Raw genomic sequence first — 23,660 nt, forward strand, 5'->3', positions numbered from 1 at the left:
GCTCATTGCAACTTCTGCCTCCTGGGTTCAAGCAGTTCTCCTGCCTCAGCTCCCAAGTAGCCGAGATTACAGGCGCCCGCCACCATACTCAGCTAATTTTTATATTTTTTAGTAGAAACGTGGTTTCACCATGTTGGTCAGGCTGGTCTCAAACTCCTGACCTCAGGTGATCCACCTGCCTCGGCCTCCCAAAGTGCTGGGATTACAGGTGTGAGCTACTGTGCCCGGCCAAGGGTGGTGTTTTCAAACGATGAATCTGACACGGATGTGTAAGATTAATTATATTAGGGAAAAATGAGAGTAGGGAACCTGATGCTAATTTAGGTTTGAGTGATGAAAATTTAGGTTAGGGTGATGGCAATAAAAATGTGACAGATGTTAGAATGAAGATAAAGTTGCAGGATGCTAAGGAAGAGATAGACAATGACAATTAGATTGGTCTGGAAAGAAATGATCAGAGGCCATAGATCACTTTCCTTGGAATAGTAGAGGAAGAGGATTAAGGAATAGGAGGAAGTTGGGGCCATTGGGGGTTACACATTTCAGTGATTTTTCTGTTAAGGTAGGGCTGAGTCAAATGAAGAGTTCCCTCTTAGCCACCTCTTCAGGACAGGGAAATCTTCTAAGGGTTTGAAGCAGAAAGAAAAAAGATAGTGGCCGGGTGCGGTGGCTCACGCCTATCATCTCAACACTTTGGGAGGGTGAGGCGGGCGGATCATTGGAGGTCAGGAGTTTGAGACCAGCCTGGCCAACATTAGTGAAATTCTTTCACCTCCAGACCAATGTTTGAACAGTTTCTGTCTCACATAGCTTAACGCTGTCTTTCTCATTTTCACTTTAGATCCAGAAGCAGCAAGGTCTAGCAATTCCAAAATCACCACCACGCTGGGTCTGGTTGTCCATGCTGCAGGTAGGGTTGGATTGCAGTGGAACTTCTTTGTTTTCTATCGCACAGGGGAGACCTTAGTGTTTATATTTCAGGGACCGTCCTCATTGAATGCTCTTGGACTGGCCTTTGAGGAAAAGGTTTCTTAATGAAGTCCTCCAACACAAGCACAAGCTTGGTGTGCTCAGTGTCAGGGGTTTGCAAGCTAAGAATGGTTTCTATACTTTTTAATGGTTTAAAAAAAAAAAGAGAGAGAGGAACATACTGTAGCACATGAGAATTATATAATTCAAATTAAGGAAGTTTTATTGGAACACAGCCTTGCCCATGTATTTATGTATTGTTTGTGACAGTGAATTTGATTAGGGAAAAATGAGAGTAGGGAACCTATTGCTGATTTAGGTTTGTTTGAGTGATGAAAATTTAGGTTAGGGTGATGGCAATAAAAAATGGAGAAAGGCAAATGTGACTGATGTTAGAATGAAGATAAAGTTGCAGGAGGCTGAGGAAGAGATAGACAATGACAATGATCCATCTCTTTTGTTTTTGTGCAACAGTGGCAGAATTGAACAGTTGCAAGAGACCAAATAACTGCAAAGCCTCAAATATTTACTGTCTAGCTCTTAAGAAGAAGTTTGCTCTTTTCATTCTTGGCTCTAGAATGTCATCTGGAAAAGAGCCTTGGCGCTTCTGTCCTGAACAGCTCTGTTACCAGTTTATATGCAAAACACCAGTTTAAGCAGAAGTGGTATGCAGTGGAATGCAGAGATCTTAGCATTGCTGACAGGGTACACTTTAGAATCATAACCCAAACCTAGTCCTAGTAATAGAATTCTGTCAGTGGCAAAGAAAGGCATGTGAAAGGTGGTACACTGTTACCTGGCCCTTTCTAAGTATAATATGCTTTTCTAACAAATTTCATTCATTCAACCAGTGTTTACTTATTAAGTAGTAATCATCTATATAGAGTTCTAGTATCTTTATTTTATTTATTTCTTTTTTTGAGACGGAGTCTCACTCTGTTGCCGAGGCTGGAGTGCACTGGCACGATTCGGCTCATTGCAAGCTCCACCTCCCGGGTTTAAGCAATCCTCCTGCCTCAGCCTCCCAAGTAGCTGGGACTATTTTGTTTCTTAACCTATAAGATTAAGAGATGCTTCCTTTGAAATTCTTCTTTGGTATTTCCCTTGTTAGAATTTGATTAACTAATCAATGGATTTTTGATTAGTTGGAAAATTGAATGTTAGTTTTCCAATAACAACAACAGCAACCAAAATAACTAACATTGAATACTCTGGGCCAGATGCTATGCTCTTTACATAAGTTATCTCATTTAATCCTCATGAAAACCCTAAGAAATACATACTTCATTGAACACATTTTAAAGATAAGGCTGGCATGTAGAAAGGTTAAGTAACATTACTAGATCCAGCTGGACCTGACTGTAAAGCTCATACACTCAACCACTACACTGTTATTGTTGTTGTTGTTTATAGTATTTTATGTTTCCTTGTTTCCAAATATAGCTGATGGTGTTGCTTTGGGAGCAGCAGCATCTACTTCACAGACCAGTGTCCAGTTAATTGTGTTTGTGGCAATCATGCTACATAAGGTAAGCAACATTTTGGTGTAAGGTTTGGTATTGAGTGTATTCATAATTAAAATTTCTCATGGTCCTTAATGTTTTTCCTGGAATGGGAACATTTTCTTCATTTCATAATTGCTATTCATTTTGGAAAATTGAATAAATCTGTTCATAGCTTCTTGTTCCCATTTTCTTAAGCTTTTCCTTGAGGGGTTTCAATTTTTTTGTGTAGACATATACACAAATTGTCAAATTCTCCTCAGATTTTTATATTTCATAGTAATAATTTCTGTTCAAAAGTATTTTTCTTTTCTTGACTGTTTCTCTTTTTTACTATCCAAGAAACACACAAATAGGATCTTTTCTTGGCTTAGAACATTAATTCCTAAGAGGCATAGCTCAGCGTTTGTACTCTGCCTGGTTTTGTTTTTTGGTTTTTTTTGTGTGTGTGTGGGTTTTTTGTTTTTTGTTTTTGAGATGGAGTTTGCTCTTGTCACCCAGGCTGGAGTGCAATGGTGTGATCTCGGCTCACTGCAACCTCCGCCTCCTGGGTTCAAGCGATTCTCCTGTCTCAGCCTCCCAAGTAGCTGGGATTACAGGTGCCCACCACCACACATTTTTGTATTTTTAGTAGAGACGGGGTTTCACCATGTTGGCCAGGCTGGTCTCGAACTCCTGACCTTAGGTGATCCACCCACCTCGACCTCCCAAAGTGCTAGGATTACAGGCATTAGCCACTGTGCCTGGCCTTTTGTGAGTTTTTCTTTGTATGAGAAATCATAGTCAAATGGCATATACTTCTTGATGTAGAAGCAACCCATACTTCTAGAATGATAATAAGAGATGATTTTTTATTTCCAGGCACCAGCTGCTTTTGGACTGGTTTCCTTCTTGATGCATGCTGGCTTAGAGCGGAATCGAATCAGAAAGCACTTGCTGGTCTTTGCATTGGCAGCACCAGTTATGTCCATGGTGACATACTTAGGACTGAGTAAGGTAAGCTAATCTATTCCCAGCTATCTAAACCAGTGTCTTGTGATCTCTTAGAATTTATGATCTCTTAGATTGAATTTTTCCAATACATTACTCTCTCAAACTAAAGATAAAATTAGGAGTAAAAACTATACAGGGTAAATATCTTAATTCCAATGCGTCCTCTTCATATTAGCATTTTCTTATTCATTTAATTTGAAAACTTCTTCCCTATCAATCAGTTCCAAGAATATTTGCATAAATATGATAGCGCTTCAATATTTAAAATAGTATAACGTAACCAGCCATGCTAGCTTCATTTGACAGATATCTAATAAGTCAAATCTGTCCATATTTAATGTGAGGTAGACACCTGAAGCGTGAGTAACAAGCCACATAGCCGCTTTGAGAAGAGCAGCAGCTGGGCAGAGATTGCTGTCAAGAGTTTAAAAAACTGACATTGATTACTGAAGTGATAGAGTAATCTTTTAAAGGGAACAACATACTGCTCACTGAAAGAAGAGAAGGCTTTTCAGGTAAATGGAAAGGGTTTTTATAACACACTGTTAGCAACTAAGATCAACAAACCCTTCCTTAACGGGAACTTAGCCATTCTTGGTCTCATTTTTCACGTTCCTCCTCTTCTCCCAGCTCTCACGTCCCCAGATAGTAACTGTACAGTTCTTTCTATTGAATACTTTGTACTGAACATAGCTTCAGACCTGAGGTAACATGTGCTCTTCTGACTCCAAGCTGGACCTTCCCATGCCTTATAATCCTGTCTGTAGCTCTGAGCAACAACCCTCCGCATTTTACCCAGATGTCAACTGGCAGGCAACTGGAGGAAAATCTTAGAAGCAAACTGACTCAGGGCTAGTTGATGGGAACTGCTTTCCCCAACACCCTCTCTAAAGGTCATTGATTCTTCTGAGCATCAGTCAATTCAGTATTTGGCAGTAAAACCCATATTAATAGGAACATGTGAAAAATGAGATAAAGAATGGCTAAGTTCCTGTTAAGCAAGGGTTTGTTGATCTTAGATGCTAAGAGTGTGTTATAAAAACCCTTTCCATTTACCTGAAGAGCCTTCTCTTCTTTCAGTGAGCAGTATGTTGTTCCCTTTAACAGATTACTCTATCACTTCAGTAATCAGTGTCAGTTTTTTAACCTTTTGACAGGAAGGTGCTGATAATTCTGGAGACATGGAGTTACTTGCTGCATCTATGGGATGTCCTTTTCTTAAAATTTTAATTAGTTGTCTTAGTCCATAGGTCTACTTTTTTAACAGAAAAGGTTGAAATTAGTTTTATAAAGATTAGCTTATGAGATATACATATATATACACACACACACACACACACACATTTTTTTTTTCCTTTGAGATGGAATCTTGCCTGTCACCCAGGCTGGAGTACAATGGCGCAATCTTGGCTCACTGCAACCTCTGCCTCCCAGGTTCAGACGATTCTCCTGCCCCAGCTTCCGGAGTAGCTGGGATTACAGGCGCCCGCCACCATGCCCGGCTAATTTTTGTATTTTTAGTAGAGACAGGGTTTCACCATGTTGGCCAGGCTGGTCTCGAACTCCTGACCTCGTGATCCGCCCACCTTGGCCTCCCAAAGTGCTGGGATTACAGGCATGAGCCACCACGCCCGGCTGCTTAAGAGATATTTCTAGGCTCTATGAGGTCAACTACTGCATCTTGATTACCACTGTATCTCAAGCACCTGGCCCAGAGCCTGGTGCATAGATGATGCTTGTTAAATATTAGTAGAATAAATAAATTTATGTCTGAAATTTAATATCTGCAATAATATATTGTTGATTCTATCTCAAGAATAATACAAGCCAAACCTGTTGAACCAGCACTTAAAGTTCGTTTTAAAAAGCAATTGTGAACCAGGAGCAGTGGCGCATACCTGTAGTCCCAGCTACTTGGGAAGCTGAGACAGGAGGATTGCTTGAGCCCAGGAGTTCCAGGCTGTAGTGTGTTATGATTGTGCCTGTGAATAGCCACTCAACTCCAGCCTGGGCAACATAGCGAGACCTCATCTCTAAAGACAGATACAGTCAATGAATGGATGGACAGAATGATGGAACTGTGGTGAATATAGTTTAATAATAGTGTGTGGTACATATCAAAATTGCTAAGAGTAAATTTCAGATGTTCTCACCACAAAATATGATAAATATTTGAGATGACAGATGTTAGTTTTATTTAATTAGTCCACATTTTATTCATGAATCATAATGTCACTTTATACCCTATAAATATATATAATTATAAATTGTTGATTTACAATAAATTTTTTAAAAAATCAATTGCGTACATCACTGATATTCTTAAACCCTTATTTGGAAGCTTCCCATGAATAACTTAAAGTTGCTGTGTTCTCTAGATGTCCCCAGTGTCCTAGACAGCACCAGTTAAGAACAGTGAGTGTTTTTTAACTGGGACTTCTTCCTGACCCTGAATTTTACTTGACTTAGTTTTTCCTCTTTCTCTCTTCTAATTCACAGAGCAGTAAAGAAGCCCTTTCAGAGGTGAACGCCACGGGAGTGGCCATGCTTTTCTCTGCCGGGACATTTCTTTATGTTGCCACAGTACATGTCCTCCCTGAGGTGGGCGGAATAGGGCACAGCCACAAGCCCGATGCCACGGGAGGGAGAGGCCTCAGCCGCCTGGAAGTGGCAGCCCTGGTTCTGGGTTGCCTCATCCCTCTCATCCTGTCAGTAGGACACCAGCATTAAATGTTCAAGGTCCAGCCTTGGTCCAGGGCCGTTTGCCATCCAGTGAGAACAGCCGGCACGTGACAGCTACTCACTTCCTCAGTCTCTTGTCTCACCTTGCGCATCTCTACATGTATTCCTAGAGTCCAGAGGGGAGGTGAGGTTAAAACCTGAGTAATGGAAAAGCTTTTAGAGTAGAAACACATTTACGTTGCAGTTAGCTATAGACATCCCATTGTGTTATCTTTTAAAAGGCCCTTGACATTTTGCGTTTTAATATTTCTCTTAACCCTATTCTCAGGGAAGATGGAATTTAGTTTTAAGGAAAAGAGGAGAACTTCATACTCACAATGAAATAGTGATTATGAAAATACAGTGTTCTGTAATTAAGCTATGTCTCTTTCTTCTTAGTTTAGAGGCTCTGCTACTTTATCCATTGATTTTTAACATGGTTCCCACCATGTAAGACTGGTGCTTTAGCATCTATGCCACATGCGTTGATGGAAGGTCATAGCACCCACTCACTTAGATGCTAAAGGTGATTCTAGTTAATCTGGGATTAGGGTCAGGAAAATGATAGCAAGACACATTGAAAGCTCTCTTTATACTCAAAAGAGATATCCATTGAAAAGGGATGTCTAGAGGGATTTAAACAGCTCCTTTGGCACGTGCCTCTCTGAATCCAGCCTGCCATTCCATCAAATGGAGCAGGAGAGGTGGGAGGAGCTTCTAAAGAGGTGACTGGTATTTTGTAGCATTCCTTGTCAAGTTCTCCTTTGCAGAATACCTGTCTCCACATTCCTAGAGAGGAGCCAAGTTCTAGTAGTTTCAGTTCTAGGCTTTCCTTCAAGAACAGTCAGATCACAAAGTGTCTTTGGAAATTAAGGGATATTAAATTTTAAGTGATTTTTGGATGGTTATTGATATCTTTGTAGTAGCTTTTTTTAAAAGACTACCAAAATGTATGGTTGTCCTTTTTTTTTGTTTTTTTTTTTTTTAATTATTTCTCTTAGCAGATCAGCAATCCCTCTAGGGACCTAAATACTAGGTCAGCTTTGGCGACACTGTGTCTTCTCACATAACCACCTGTAGCAAGATGGATCATAAATGAGAAGTGTTTGCCTATTGATTTAAAGCTTATTGGAATCATGTCTCTTGTCTCTTCGTCTTTTCTTTGCTTTTCTTCTAACTTTTCCCTCTAGCCTCTCCTCGCCACAATTTGCTGCTTACTGCTGGTGTTAATATTTGTGTGGGATGAATTCTTATCAGGACAACCACTTCTCGAACTGTAATAATGAAGATAATAATATCTTTATTCTTTATCCCCCTTCAAAGAAATTACCTTTGTGTCAAATGCCGCTTTGTTGAGCCCTTAAAATACCACCTCCTCATGTGTAAATTGACACAATCACTAATCTGGTAATTTAAACAATTGAGATAGCAAAAGTGTTTAACAGACTAGGATAATTTTTTTTTCATATTTGCCAAAATTTTTGTAAACCCTGTCTTGTCAAATAAGTGTATAATATTGTATTATTAATTTATTTTTACTTTCTATACCATTTCAAAACACATTACACTAAGGGGGAACCAAGACTAGTTTCTTCAGGGCAGTGGACGTAGTAGTTTGTAAAAACGTTTTCTATGACGCATAAGCTAGCATGCCTATGATTTATTTCCTTCATGAATTTGTCACTGGATCAGCAGCTGTGGAAATAAAGCTTGTGAGCCCTCTGCTGGCCACAGTGAGGAAAGTAGCACAAATAGGATACAGTTGTATGTAGTCATTGGCAACAATTGCATACAATTTTACTACCAAGAGAAGGTATAGTATGGAAAGTCCAAATGACTTCCTTGATTGGATGTTAACAGCTGACTGGTGTGAGACTTGAGGTTTCATCTAGTCCTTCAAAACTATATGGTTGCCTAGATTCTCTCTGGAAACTGACTTTGTCAAATAAATAGCAGATTGTAGTGTCTGGTTTGGTTTGGACAGTAGTGCTTTCTATCATATTGTTGTGTGCAATGGTAATTTGTTCTACTGGCCAAAGCCTCTTTCAGCAGTGCCTTGCCATCATGCTTAAAAGTTTGGCTAGTATATCTTGCTGGATGGAGCCTTGAACTCCGGCAAGGATTGAACCATCTGACTTCCAAATTTGCCTTCCCCTCTGGACCTCACTATTAACAAGCAAACCTTTCAGGGCCCTCTTAGCTCTCAGAAGCTATGTATGGGCTTTCCCAGATTTTAAAGCTGCTGCCTCGAGAACTACTCATTTCTCTCCTGGTCAGCAGACAGAAATAGCCATACTAATCTCATAGGGCTCAAATGCATCTTCAGGCAGCAGGGAACCAAGCAGCGTGGCACAGGCCTTCTTGACTGGAGGAAGAGCTTGCTGGCATGGTGGGCAGTATTCCAGGAGAGGCCATGTCCGTGTTCACTTCTTGGCACATTTCAGTTCCGTTTTCCTCTTGTTTAAAACTGCCTCTTTAGATGTGGATGCCTTAATGCTGTAACACATTTGAAAACATTGGCAATACTTAAGTTGCTGCCATGATTACAGATGGAATTATTGGCTACCAAAGAGACGCAATTGATGATGAGAAGCATGATTCTTGCTTCCATATAACCAAAGTTAATCTTAATTGCAATTTGACTCCGTTTCCTTGGTAGGGATAGACTTTCTTCAGATTCCAAGTGCTCTCTTAAATGGCAAATTAAGTTAAAGAATACTACTGCTCCATTCCCCTCACTTATTCTCCAGTTAATTGCTTGTCAGTTCCATTTCAAGAAAGCAGTGATGTTCCAGGTTTGATTCAGTTTTCCTGTGCACACTATTGCCAAATTTTTTTTTAGCAAAGATTCTGCACTGGAACGTAGACAGTTGGAAACAGTACTACCTACCTAGAGGTTATGTGTTTTCTCTTTCTCCCCGCTTTCACCTCTTTCTTTCCCAATTCAAAACAGCCAAGTGAGCCCTGTTCTGGTATTTTGAATCATTAGAGAAAAGAAAGGGAGTGGCTGTTTTGAGTTGTCCTTTCTTTGCAGAAAGGAGAAAATGTGATTGTGTTTTTTTTTTACCAGCCTACTTCTAAGTGTCACTGCCTGGTTTTTCTCTTTTTCAAGGATTAGAACTAAGAGGACACACCAGCATCGGAGTGTATTAAGCCCCTGAAACACATGGTAGCTAGGGACTGAACACAGGAACCGTATGACAGCAGCACAAACCCCCAAAGGATGTTCCTGCCTTGTGGGCCCCTGAGCCCCTTGGGAGACTGAGAATCATGACCAGATTCATCCAGAACTGCTGCAGTGTTAAGTGAAAATCCTCTGTAGTTGTTCTGCAGAGGAACCTTCCTTCCATTAGAAAATTTCTGCTCAATACAGAATGGTCCACATCACCCAAAGTGCACTGTTGGAGATGCTGTGAAATTAAAACCTCTTTGTACCTGAGACATCTAGATTCACCTCAGGAGGCCTGAAGGAAATGTGTAACTTGTGGGAAAGAACTAGACAACCATTTAGGAATTCTCTAGATATACTCAGCCTAACCCAGTGGCTTAACACAAGGAGATTGGCTTTGATCTTTTTTTCTTGTGGCATCTTCCAGCAAGTTAGAAGTCTCATGGGATAAGACTGCAGTTCCCCTGGTTCAATAGCTGGAACAGTGATTTTAAATGTCCCTTTTTCTGGATCCCTTGTAAACATGAAATCATTCCATGGATGGCTGCCTTATAATTTTGTCTCTTTCCACTTTAATTGTGAATGGTTAAAAAAATGCTGTTTTCTGATATTAAATTTTTATTAGTGCATACCTTAATCTGAGTGGCTCATTACTTATCCTTTTGGCAGTTTGTTTGATGACCAGAATTGACCTGTATTTGAACATCAGAAAAGAGAATGAAAAGTTGTGATGGATGGTAGAAAGATGTACCTACCACAGGCACATCCTTTAGGGAAGGGAGGGAGAAAGGAGAGAGGGGAAATTAAGGACTTGATAGACCAATCTGCCCTGAAAGACACAAATGCATTGATAATTGTTTTTGCCTTGCTGTTGTTAGCAAATATTATTTACGAAGGTAGCTCTCTCTACTCTCAGAAAAGAGAAAGAGGCAACAGATCCAAACCACAGTGGATTCATTTCATAGGGCAGAGTTGTTATATGAGTAGATAGATGCTATGAACAACTGACCCTGGAAATTAAAGAGATTTGATTAGAAACGTGACGTGTGAATTTGATAAATGTTTTTCTCCCTCTGTGGACTTATGGTTAGTCATTAGATTTCATTAAATACTACTGGCCCACTTTGTGCTGGTTTTCTATATGTATAGTTACATGTATAGCTAGTTACAAAGATTGTGCTCAGGGCAGGCATGGTGGCTCACGCTTGTAATCCCAGCACTTTGGGAGGCCGAAGTGGGTAGATCACCTGAGGTCAGGAGTTCGAGACCACCCTGGCCAACATGGTGAAACCCCGTCTCTACTCAAAATAGAAAAATTAGCCAGGTGTGGTAGGGGGGTACCTGTAAATCCCAGCTACTCGGGAGGCTTCCCTGAGATCAAAACACACACACACCTGGGCTTAGCCAAAATAGCCACCAATCCTTTTCTGTTTGGTGTCATTTTTATTTTATTTTTTCCTGCTCACATGATCTGTTTTTTGTTTGTTTGTTTTTTGAGACAGAGTCTTGCTCTGTAGCCCAGGCTGGAGTGCAGTGGTGTGATCTCAGCTCACTGCAAGCTCCACCTCCCAGGTTCACGCCATTCTTCTGCCTCAGCCTCCCGAGTAGCTGGGACTACAGGTGCCCACCACCACGCCCAGCTAATTTTTTGTATTTTTAGTAGAGACGGGGTTTCATTGTGTTAGCCAGGATGATCTTGATCTCCTGACCTCATGATCCGCCCTCCTCAGCCTCCCAAAGTGCTGGGATTACAGGCGAGAGCCACCACGCCCGGCCTGATCTGTTTTTTAATCTAGGTGCTGGTTACAGGGTTATAGCAGGTGAAAAAGCAGTACACATGATTTGTGCTTTTTACCTTATGTCATAGCTCAATAAAAAGTCTTTAAAAGTCAGTGTCACCAGGTGTGATGGTTCATGTCTGTAATCTCAGCCACTTTGAGTGGCTGAGGTGGGAGGATTGCTTGAGCCCAGGAGTTTGAGACCAGCTTGGGCAACACAGTGAGACCCCCATCTCTACAAAAAATTAAAAAAAAAAAATTAGCTGGGGCCAGGCACGGTGGCTCACGCCTGTAATCCCAGCACTTTGGGAGGCCGAGGTGGGTGGGTCGCGAGGTCAGGAGATTGAGACCATCCTGGCTAATATGGTGAAACCCCGTCTCTACTAAAAATACAAAAAATTAGCTGGGCGTGGTGGCGGGCGCCTGTAGTCCCAGCTGCTCGGGAGACTGAGGCAGGAGAATGTCGCGAACCCGGGAGGCAGAGTTTGCAGTGAACCGAGATCACGCCGCTGCACTCCAGCCTGGGTGACAGAGCGAGACTCTGTCTCAAAAAAAAAAAAAAAAAAAAAAGCTGGATATAGTGACATGCACCTGTGGTCCCAGCTACTTGGGAAGCTGAGGTGGGAGGATTGCTTGACCCCAGGAGGTCAAGGCTGCAGTGAACTGTGATCACGCCATTTCACTCCAGCCTGGGCAACAGAGCAAGACTCTGTCTCAAAAAATTCACTTAAAAAAAAGGAAGAATTCTGTTCTAAATTAAGAGAGTCTGAAGAGATGAAATAATCAATTCCAGTGATTAACCTGGATTGGAGGTTCCTTTTTGATTGAACCAGATCAGAAATTTGAAAGTTCAAAAAACATGTTGGGGATGACAGCTGCACAATTCTGTGAACCTACCAAAAGCTATTGAATTGTACACTTAAAAAATGGGAACTCAACATTAAGGGCACATTCCTCCACAAAACTGCTCTCCAGACACCAGCAGCAAGTTCAGGAATTACCAGGTCATCCTTTCTTCTGACTAGCTGGCTGCAAATTTGGAGTTTCCCACAGCCACTCTCTGGTCAGTAATTTGCTAAAACAACTCACAGAACTCCAGAAAAAACTATGTTATGATTGCAGTTCTATTATAGCAAAAAGGACAGACCAGAAACAGAAGAAGAGGTGCCTGGGGCAAAGTCTGAGAGAGTCCCAAATGTGAAGCTTCCCTCATTCTCAGGGACACATTGCCCTCCCAGCATTGAAGCATGAAAATACTCTGACCAGGGACGTTCTCCTGAGTTTTGGTATCCGGAGTTTTTATTGAGGCTTCGTTATTTAGGTATGATTGAATCATTGGCTATGTGGTTGAACTCAATCTCTAGCCCCCTTTTCCTTCCTGGAGGTTGGACTGGTATCACATGACTCAAAGCCCCAACTCTAACTACATGGTTGGCTTTTCCGGGTGGCCAGCTCCCAGCCTGAGTCATCTTGCAAACATAAACTATCCAGGGGTCTTCCGTGAGTCACTGTGTTAGCAGAAACTATCAAGTGGGATCCCAGGAGTCCACCGTGAATAATGAATACTCCTATCACTCAGGAAATTCCAGAGAATTAGAGGTTACTTCCCAGAAACCAAAGACAAAGGCCGCCTAATTCTTTACTACACAGATGGTCAGAGCTGGACACTTAAAGGTGAAACCTGGCCAGGCGTGGTGGCTCACGCCTGTAATCCCAGTACTTTGGGATCACTTGAGGCCAGGAGTTCAAGACCAGCTTGGCCAACATGGCAAAACTCTGTCTCTACTAAAAATACAAAAATTAGCCAGGCGTGGTGGTGCATACCTGTAATCCCAGCTACTCGGGTGGCTGAGGCATGAGAATTGCTTGAGCCCAGGAGGCAGAGGTTGCAGTGAGCTGAGATCGCACCACTGCACTCTAGCCTGGGCAACAGAACAAGACTCTGTCTGGAAAAAAAAAAAAAAAAAAAAGTGAAACCTGAACCAAGACTTGAAAGAAGTGAGTACCTGAGCCAAGCAGATACCTGGGAGGAGAATATCCCAGGCACAGCAAATAGCTAGAGCACAGGTCCTAACATTAGAGCTTACTTGGCTTGTTCAAGAAGAAGCAAAAAGACAAGTGCAGCTGGAATGGAGTGAGGAAAGAATAGTTGAAAAGGAAGGGCTGGGAGCAGTGGCTCACACCTGGAATCCCAGCGCTTTGGGAGGCCGAGGTGGGTGGATCACGAGGTCAGGAGATCAAGACCATCCTGGCTAACACGGTGAAACCCCGTCTCTACTAAAAATACAAAAAATTAGCCGGGCGTGGTGGCGGGCGCCTGTAGTCCCAGCTACTTGGGAGGCTGAGGCAGGAGAATGCTGTGAACCCGGGAGGCGGAGCTTGCAGTGAGCCAAGATCACGCTACTGCACTCCAGCCTGGGCGACAGAGCGAGACTCTGTCTCAAAAAAAAAAAAAAAAAAAAAAAAAAAAATAAGGAAGACACATGGAGGGCCTAATTAAACTGACAAAGTCTCAATGCAAGCACTGACACAGAGATAGTGGAATGAAAGAGCCCAGCAGTAAGAAGCAGAATATTTAAGAATCTAAAATATGGCTAAAGATGACTTAAGGAAAAAAGAAAAAGCCACAGCATAGAAAAACACAATGGTAATTGTTGGGAAATTTTAAGAAAAGCAATCAGATTAAATGCTAGGTTTATACCATATATGCAGTAAATGGTAGCTGGACAAAATAGTGAAATGTTAAAAGAAAAAAATGGATAAAATGGAAGCCAGTGTAAAGTGATACTACATTTCTAAAGAGCATACCAAGAGTTTGAATATATTTATGCTTTTTATCCCAGGCCTTCCACCTTTGGAATTTATTATAAGCAATTACAAAAATATATATTCGCCTAGAAATGTTTATGGGAAATGTATTTTTAATAGCATAAAATTGGAATTAGCCTAAATATACAATAATATATCTCATTGAGATTATGCCAGCAGAGGAAAAAATGGGATGATGTAATCTTATGTGACTGAAAGCTGGAACAAAATTTTGTTTATAGTTAGAAATATTTACCTGTGTTAATATAGTCTAGTAAAAATACATAAATTGAGTGACAAGGACTTTCAGTTATGAGTAACTTATTTCTTGTTACTAAATGGCACATATTTGTGATTATGCCGCTTTGTAATTTTTTTCTTTTTTTTTTTTAGAGACAGGGTCGCCCAGGCTGGGGTGCAGTGGTAGGATCACAGCTCACTGTAACCTCCAACTCCTGGGCTCAAGCAACCCTCCCCCACCTCAGCCTCAGCCTGTAGTTAGGACTACAGGCACACACCACCACACTCAGCTAATTTTTTTAATTTTATTTTTCGTATGCAGAGATGAGGTCTTGCTATGTTGCCTGGGCTAGTCTCGAACCCCTTGGCTCAAGAAATTCTGCTCTGGCCTCCAAAAGTGTTGGGATTACAGGCATGAGCCATGCTGCCATGTCCCATATTGTTTATTAATAAAATTTTTTCATATCTCAGAGAAGGAAATCTTTCTACTTTAGCCCTCATTAAACTGAGTTCATCTCACTCTACTGAAACTTAAGATTCCTGTTTCCAACTCAAAAGGTCTTTTCTAGGTTGTCATTCTCCTCTAACTTTCTGGCCCCTGGACATTGTTAATTACCCTCTTTGAGAGCAAGGCAGTCACTCCTCAGGGAAAGCAGAATGTCCCATGCAAAGCCTCCTCCTAACATGATTCTATCCCCCAGCACCAAAATATCACTTCACTTCCTATCATCCAGGGCTGTTTCTTATATACCAACATATTACTCATAAATGAGAGAAATACAAACTCCTCCAGGAGGAAATAAGAGACTTGGTTTAAGGGTTCAGACCCTGTCCCTTAGTCATTAAGAGCAATCACTGAATAGCCAGAAATGTAGGTGGGATAGTCAATCTGGTGAAAGGGGAAGATAAGGCCCCGTGTGGTGGCTCATGCCTGTAATCCCAGCATTTTGGGAGGCTGAGGCAAGAAGACCACTTGAGGCTAGGAGGTGGAGACCTGCCTGGGCAAATAGCGAGACCCTGTCTCTATGAATAAATAAATAAAGCCAGGCATGGTGGCACGTGCCTGTAGTCCCAGCTACTCAGGAGGCTGAGTTGGGAAGATGGCTTCAGCCCAGGAGGCAGAGTTTGCACTGAGCTGAGATTGTGCCACTGCACTCCAGCCTGGGTGATAGAGCCAGACTCTGTCTCAAAAAAAAAGGTGGGGATTTGGGGGAGATGGAGTTTCAGGTGAGGGTCAGTAGAGCTGCTTATTATCAACCCTCAAATCTCAACTATTTGTGAACAGGAGGCACCTCAGAAGCTCCTTGGAATTTCACCACTAATAAATCATTTCTGAACAGGAGTTACATCTTCAACCATGGTGGAACGATGTCTATCCAGTGAGCCAAATTCCTGTAGTTCTCCAATACCTCATCTTGATACACAGCCTTCTGTGCTGGTTTCGATCAACCCCACTCCTTCGAGAAATAAAGGCCACATTCTTGAATGTCAGTAGGCCAAGAAATAAACACAGTTATTCATGAAGAGGTCAGGCATTCACATGTTTTGGGAGGACTTGTGGAGTTAGTTAAGACAAGGGAGATAGTTCATGGATAGGACCATGTTTTTATCCAGTGTTCAGAGCCGTGAGTTAAACAATAACAGATTAGTTAAATTATGGAAAAGCAATACAATGGAATACTATGAGATCAAAAATGTAATTACAAATATGTTCATGATTAATTTCAGGTATGAAAAGCAGTTTACCAGACTGCATGTGGCAGATACTCCTTTCGAAAATTGTAATATAAGGATAGTGAAAAAGAAGGGCAGAGATAAATGAATACAACTAGTTCAGAAAATTATACCCTCAAATTTCAACTGTAATTATCTCTGGATTGTGGAATTGTGAGTAATGTTTGATTTATTCTTTTTATTATAAGTGCTTTCACATTTGTCGACAATCACCATATATTTCCTTCCTTCCTTTCTTTCTTTCTTTCTTTCCTTCCTTCTTTCTTTCTTTCTTTTCTTTCTGGGTCTTGCTTTGTCACCCATGCTGGAGGGGCAGTGGTGCAATCATAAGCCCATAGCTCACTGCAGCCTCAAACTCCTGAGCTCCAGCGATCCTCCCACCTCATCCTCCTGAGCAGCCAGGACTACAGGTGCATGCCACCATGCCTGGCTAAGTTTTTAATTTTTTGTAGAGATGGAGTCTCACTATGTTGACCAGGTTGGTCTCAAACTCCTGATCTCAAGCCATCCTCCTGCCATGGCTTCCCAAAGTGCTGGGATTACAGGCATGAGCCATTGTGCCCCACCCGACAATCACCATTTATTTCTATAGAATTAGGGGTTTTTAAAAAAGTCATTTGTTAAATGGAATTTTTCAACTTAGGAAGAGAAATTTTATTTTACATTCAAAATGTGCATATTTGCATTCAAAACACATAGAAGTGAAATGGCCATTTCATCATTTTCCGGATTTCTCTTTGGCAGATCAAGGATTCTGAGGAAGTAGAGATGGTATGGAAGAAAGATACCCTGAGAGAAGCTGGCTTTGCACCAGCTCGGTCCTCTTCCTTCCTTTCTTGCATAAGCAAACACTCACACATGTACACAGAGAGAGAGAGAGAGAGGAGGATGTTAGAGGGAAACTAGAGCCACTCACCCCTTCCCAGGATCAGAGAACACAGAAAAGATCATTATTTTTGGCAGCTACTCTCTGTTCTTGAACTCACAACACTGTCCTGACTATGAATAAGGTCAGGTTGGATACATTTACAACTGTCTCCTTGAACTATAGGCTCACAAGCTTAAAATTCAACCATTCTTTCTTAAGTTGTTTCTCTTTTTTTTTTTTAAGAGACAGGGTCTCTCTCGCTCTATCGCCCAGGCTGGAGTGAAGTGGCAAGATCATAGCTCACTGCAGCCTAGAACTCTTGGGCTCCAGTGATCCTCCTGCCTGAGACTTCTGAGTAGCTGGGACCACAGGTGCACGCCAGCATGCCTGGATAATTTTTTAATTTTTTTGTGTAGATGGGGGTCTCACTCTGTTGCCTAGGCAACATAGAATTATTGGCCTCAAGCAATTCTCCCGCCTCACCCTCCCAAAGCACGGAGACGACTGGTGTGAACCACTACTCCCAGACTTAAGTTGTCTCTTTTTAGTTTTTTTTTTGAGACGGAGTCTCACTCTGTTGCACAGGCTGGAGCGCAGTGGCATGATCTCGGCTCACTGCAACCTCCGCCTCCCAGGTTCAGGCATCCTTCTGCCTCAGCCTCCACTAGTAGCTGGGATTACAGGCACCCACCTCCATGCCTGGCTAATTTTTGTATTTTTAGTAGAGACGGGGTTTCATCTTGTTGGCCAGGCTGATCTCGAACTCCTGACCTCAGGTGATCCACCCACCTAGGCCTCCCAAAGTGCTGGGATTACAGGCGTGAGCCACCGTGCCCTGCCAAGTTGTCTCTTAATATCAGTAATCAGTAACTAAGGTCTGAGGTTTGCTTTAATTACAGTTTTTCATTTGATCCTCAGCACCAGGCTGCAAGCCCAGCACTAACATTCTTTTTTTTATGAACAAAGAAAACTAAGACAGGCTTTAAGAAACTAGTAAATGGCCGGGCACAGTGGCTCATGCCTGTAATCTCAGCACTTTGGGGGGCCAAGGTGGGCAGATCACTTGAGGTCAGGAGTTCAAGACCAACCTGGGCAACATGGTGAAACCCCATCTCTACTAAAACTACAAAAATTAGCCAGGCGTAGTGGTGCACACTTGCAGTCCCAGCTACTCGGGATACTGAGGCATGAGAATTGCTTGAACCCGGGAGGCAGAGGTTGTGGTGAGCTGAGATTGTGCCACTGCACTCCAGCCTGGGTGACAGAGATCAAAAAAAAAAAAAAAACTAGTAAATGGCTGAGTTGGTATTTGAATCCACGTCTGTCTGACTCTAAAGTGTGTGCAATTCCACCACATCACTGTGTCTACAAGGGAAATGCTGCCTCTGCCCTCTCCTGAAGAATGTATAAAGAAAGAGGCAATGTGGTGTATTTCCTGGAAAAAGCACCTTGGAAGAAAGAAAGCATTAACTTCTTGCCCATGATCATCCTTATCAGAAGCAGCAGTAGTGGCATTATTTTACATTTAGTCCTCCCCAGTAACTCAGTGAGCTATGTGCTACAATTCTCTTTCTTCTTTCTTGTCTTTCTTTTTTTTTTCTTTGAGACAGAGTCTCGCTCTGTCGCCCAGGCTGGAGTGCAGTGGCATGATCTTGGCTCACTGCAAGCTCCGCGATCTCGGCTCACTGCAAGCTCCGCCTCCCAGGTTCACGCCATTCTCCTGCCTCAGCCTCCAGAGTAGCTGGGACTACAGGTGCCCACCACCATGCCCGGCTAATTTTTTGTATTTTTAGTAGAGGCGGGGTTTCACCGTTTTAGCCAGGATGGTCTCGATCTCCTGACCTTGTGATCTGCCTGCCTCGGCCTCCCAAAGGCCTGGGATTACAGGCGTGAGCCACCGTGCCTGGCCTTTTTTTTTTTTTTTTTTTTTTTTTTTTTTTTTTGAGACAGGGTCTTGCTCTGTTCCCCAGGCTGGGAGTGCAGTGGTACGATCATGGCTCACTGCACCCTCTACTCCGGGCTCAAGCAATCTTCCCATCTCAGCCTCCTGAGTAGCTGGGACCACAGGCACACACCACCACTCCCGACTGATTTTTAAATTTTTATTTTTGTAGAGATGGGGTCTCCCTATGTCGCCTAGGCTGATCTCAAACTCCTGGGCTCAAGGGATCCTCCCGTCTTGACCTCCCAAAGAGCTGGGATTACAGACATGAGCCACCACGCCTGGCTCATCCCCACTTTCAAATGTGGAAACCAAGGCACATCTCTGAAGCTGGAGCTCAGGCATTCTGGCTCCTGAGTCCACACTCTTAACTACACTGTAGAGGTCACAAGGTCTGAGAGAAACTGGATCAAACCAAGAGAGAGTAGCTCTGGAGTCTAGACCTGGTTCAAGGACAAACTGTACTACCTTGAATAGGGATGGTTTTCTCATTCAGGACTGGGCATCGCAGGGGCTGGCCAGCATCCAGGACCTCGGAGTCCCAGTCATTCAGAATCATGCTGCCTCAGGATGTCTCAAGTCCAGGGCTCCCCACACTTTCCCATGCCAAAGGTGCCTAACAGCAGAAGAGAATGAACCACCACCCATGGTAGTCTAGTATTTGGCCGAGAGATGTCAACCTATACACAGGAAGCTCCTTGACATCTCACTTTTGCTGACTTTGTCTTCTCCTTCATAATCCACATTTATTTTTACCATAGATATAATGTTTAAAATTAATTACCAGATAAACTCTTAGGCTTCCAGAGCTTAAGGTTCCTTCCAAACCTTCTGGTGAAACGGCTGCTTCACGGAAATGGTGAGAAAATGTTTCACACGTTTTTACACAGTCACACACAAGTGTGTATCTACTTCTCAATGGTCCCAGCCACACACTCAACGACCCGTGCTGAGTCAGAACCAAACACCACACACCGTCACAACAATCACCACACACAGCGATGGTCACATGCCCACTCGGTCACTCACCCACAACCAGAGAGAGAATCACACACAGGCGGCACACCCAACACCACAGCCCTTCAAGCAGCAACCCAGGGAATCAAACACTCACCTGCCTACACATGTATGTATGTCTGTTTTTAATTCTTCTAAGCTAGAGCTGCATCCTCCCGTATACTGTTTATAATGTAAGAAGTAAGCAACCTTGAGTCTTTGTCCTTGTGTCTGGAATGCTCTTCCCCCTCCTTCAACTCTGGATGCAATGTCTCCTTCCATTAGGCTTACCGGGACCGCGTGAGTTAAAACTGTAACCTGTCCCCACCCCCATGTTCTGTATGCTGCTCTATTTCTTTTTCGGTAACGTTAATCACCGTGTCATGTGCTTTATAAAGCAGCCATGCAACACAGAGCAATGTTTCGGTCAATGATGGACCACATTTATAACCATGGTCCTCTAAGATTATAATACTGTATTTTTACTCCACCTTTTTCTGTGGTTAGACACACAAATACTTACCATTGCATTGCAACTGGCTACAGTGTTCAGTACAGTAATGTGCTGCACAGGTTTGTAGCCTAGGAGCAATAGGCTGTACCATACAGCCTAGGTGTGTGGTAGGCTATGCCATCTAGGTTTGTGTAAGTGCACTCTATGGCAGGGGTCCCCAACCCCGGGCCACAGACCAGTACTGGTCCTTGGCCTATTAGGAACCGGGCCACACAGCAGGAGGTGAGCGGCAGGTGAAGAAGCATTACCACCTGAGTTCTGCCTCCAGTCAGATCAGCGGCAGCATTCGATTCTCATAGGAGCATGAACCCTACTGTGAACTGCACACACAGGGATCTAGGTTGCATGCTCCTTATGAGAATCTAATGCCTGATGATCCATCACCGTCTCCCATCATCCCCAGATGGGACCGTTTAGTTGCAGGAAAACAAGTTCAGGGCTCCCACTGATTCTACATTATGGTGAGTTGTATAATTATTTCATTATATATTACAATGTAATAATAGAAATAAAGTGCACCATAAATGTATTGCACTTAAATCATCCTGAAACCATCTCCCCCCAAACTCCAGCGCATGAAAAAATTGTCTTGCATGAAACTGGTTCCTGGTGCCAAAAAAGTTGGGGACCACTGCTCTACAGTGTCCAAACAAGGACAAAATTGCCTAAGGACATGTTTCTCAGAATGTGTCCCTACCCCACCCTCCCACCAACCCTCCCTCTCCCCGCCCCAGCTGCAGCCCTGATCCCTGGCAGGACCAGCTGCTGACCCTGCGTGTGTGTAGCTCCACCTCTGCCTCACTTGGTGAGGGCTGCTTGGGAGTTAGCAGTATCAGAAAGGGCATGGAACTGAGTGTACAGGTGGGAAATTAACTGGGTTCAGGTTACTAACTCAGTGCTGACCAGCCACAGCAAGGTGCTGTATGACTAATTTAGGAATCAGAAAACCCGGATCCTATTACTGGCTCAGCCACTGATTTTTGTTACCATGTTAGCCACTGCCCAATTTTGTAATTTTTGGACAGGAATGTGAGTAAAAGTTTGTGTCCCACTCTGGTTGCACAAGAATTGAGGAATCCCGACAAATTCAGGAGCCATCAGAGGAGGGAGCCCAGTGGAGAAGGGGATCGAGGGGGAGATTGGGGTCTTCGAGGAAGCTAGAAGGACCTGGATTGCTTGCTTATGTCTGGAATGCTCTTGAGGGCAGAATTTGATAACCATCTTCAGATACTTCAACTACTGTCTCACCAAAGCTTCCACTCCTGAACTCTTGTTTCCTTCCAGCCCTCCAGCCCCCATCTGAATTGGGTGTTTGCTGGGCTAGGGGCAGAGGGTGGGAATGGCAGTAGAACCTATATTGTATTTTCATCTGTCCCTGCCTTCGCCCTGCTCAGTACTTGACAAACTGAGAGGAGCGGGGACTCCTCTTAGGAGCCTGCCAGGCACCCTCCCCACCCACTCATCAAGGAAATAAAGGAAAATCTGAGTTCCTTCAAGGGAAATTCCAGGCACCTAGCTAGCCCTGAGAAGTGGGCGAGCAATTTCATAAGCAAGAAGGCAAAAGCAGCCTAAAACAATAACCAAGGAAGTTAGAGTCTCAGAAAGTTTGGTTCCCTTTAGAAACTAAAGATAATATCTTACCATATTTTCCTGAGTTGCTTTCCAGAAACCCAGACCCCCACCAAATGATCTGCTGGCACATAGACCTCAGATAGGGGGAAATGAGGGCTGAACTCTGACCACCGGTTCGCGACCATGGGCCAGAGCTAACATTCTTTTCTGCTAACTCCGAATTTTTAGACAAAGTTTTGCCTCCTTTACCAAATGCAAATCAGAAAATCTTTGTGAATTCACCTGTGACCTGTGCCCCACCCGCCTTGAGATGTCCACCTTTTTAGGTCAAACCAACGTATAGCCTCCATTGTATTAATTTATGGCTTATGACTTTGCTTGTAACCTCTGCCTTTAGAAAGTCTTGCCTGTAAGCTGTTTGGGAGTTCTGGTCTGAAGTATAAACTGCCAGATTCTCCTTCCTTGGCACCCTGCAATAAATGCCTCACTTTCTCTGACTGCAATCCCCATGGCCGTGTTTGGCTTTGCTCCACCGGGTGTGCGGATGCAAATTCAGTTTAGTAACAAAGCCAGAAAAGAACATGCTATTGAACCTGGAAAAAAAATTCCAAGAAAGTATGATGCAGAGAGTTAGATGTCCTGGTCACCCCCTTCTTTTTTTAAAAAGAGATTGGAGATCTCGTTCTGTCATCCAGGCTGGAGTGTGGTGGTGTAATCACAGCTCAATGTGACCTCGAGTTCCTGGGCTCAGTTGATCCTCCCACCTCAGCCTCCCAACGCTCTGGGATTATAGGTATGAGCCACTGTTCCTGGTTAGCTCCCTTTTGATATATGAAGACAAGAGTGTTTTAAAGTAACTTGACCAAAGTCTTCTCATTGAGTAAAGATGGAGCTAACGCTGGTGACCAGCCTTTGGCTCCTAGTCCAGTGAACTGCTAATTCTGTTCTAGATGAGGGGCCAGCATCTTGGCTTTCCCTTAGATGTTCTGGGAGAGTGTGTGAGATCATAGCAATAAATGGCTATGGGCTTATTGGCCAGACTCAACATATCTGCCTCTTACCATTCCCAAAATATACTTGCTCTTAGAAGCCAAATTAATGTATATTCTAATTCATGCATCACCCACAAGAGGGAGCACTGAATACCTTCAGGGTGTCTGCTGAGTGTGCTGCCCACAGCGATGCCGGTGGGTACCAAGAGCTAATGTTAGTGCGGTAGAGTAGCTGGCAGGCTGACAGGGTGGCATGGTTTTCCAGCCACTCCCAAAAACGCTTCTGCATTGGCAACATTGGGTGTGAGTGATTACTGGGCAGTGAGAGGGTGGGGTGGGGTAGAAGCCTAGCAAGAGGCTGGCCCTGCTGATGAGAACACAGCCCATCTAGTCTAGTGCCAGGGAGCTCAAGTGGAGAGAGACTTTGAAGCGGGGGCCTGCTTATGTGGCTTCAGGCTGTGCTTCCCCGCAAGTGAGGCTTCCCACAGGGGCCCCGGGGGACCCTACTCCCCAGCGCACCCAGAGATGGGTCAACTAGTCTTCTGTGCCCACACACCCTTGTGGCTCTCCCTCCCCCATAGTCCTTTGGCCTACTGGCTTTGCACCTTCATGTGGTACCTTGTGCCCCACCTCAACTCTCTCCTGGGTTGCCCTGGGGGAAACCCAGTCCTGCGCAGGTAGAGGAGCCCAAGGCCCATCGTGGCCTTAGGAAATACAATCAAAATAGGAATATAATTCAACCAAGGGGAGGAGGAAGTGGCATCAGAAAAGGCATCACTGCCGGGTGGAATGGCTCACGCCTATAATCCCAGCGTTTTGGGGAGCCGAGGCAGGTGGATCACTTGAGGTCAGGAGTTCGAGA

The 23,660-nt window shown here is 43.5% G+C and overlaps 2 protein-coding genes across 9 annotated transcripts in view, besides 1 other annotated feature; both read left to right on the top strand.

The window, feature by feature from the left end:
- Positions 1–9,991, top strand: part of SLC39A9 (solute carrier family 39 member 9) — a 64,007-nt gene extending 54,016 nt beyond the window's left edge. For 5 of the 8 annotated variants that reach the window (NM_001252151.2, NM_001252152.2, XM_024449648.2 and 2 more), the window contains 4 exons: positions 842–910; positions 2,413–2,498; positions 3,333–3,467; positions 5,964–9,991. In NM_001252151.2, coding sequence (NP_001239080.1) covers positions 842–910; positions 2,413–2,498; positions 3,333–3,467; positions 5,964–6,194 — 521 coding nt within the window. In that variant the 3' untranslated portion in view covers positions 6,195–9,991. The remainder of the gene's footprint in view (positions 1–841; positions 911–2,412; positions 2,499–3,332; positions 3,468–5,963) is intronic. The other 3 variants (XM_047431550.1, NM_001252148.2, NM_001252150.2) reach the window with 2 other exon arrangements.
- Positions 7,889–7,938: a silencer, noted in NCBI's record as "silent region_5881". NCBI's record gives its function as "represses an Ori minimal core promoter by ATAC-STARR-seq in GM12878 lymphoblastoid cells {active_cell/tissue: GM12878}" and the evidence as "EXISTENCE:reporter gene assay evidence [ECO:0000049][PMID:35858748]".
- A 5,353-nt stretch (positions 9,992–15,344) lies between the features above and the next one.
- PLEKHD1 (pleckstrin homology and coiled-coil domain containing D1) overlaps positions 15,345–23,660 on the top strand; it is a 63,808-nt gene continuing 55,492 nt past the window's right edge. Inside the window, exon 1 of the mRNA XM_017021290.1 lies at positions 15,345–16,067. The gene's annotated coding sequence lies outside the window, so the exon portion shown is untranslated. The remainder of the gene's footprint in view (positions 16,068–23,660) is intronic.

This window comes from Homo sapiens, chromosome 14 (assembly GCF_000001405.40).
Source record: "Homo sapiens chromosome 14, GRCh38.p14 Primary Assembly".
Classification (NCBI taxonomy): Eukaryota; Metazoa; Chordata; class Mammalia; order Primates; family Hominidae; genus Homo; species Homo sapiens.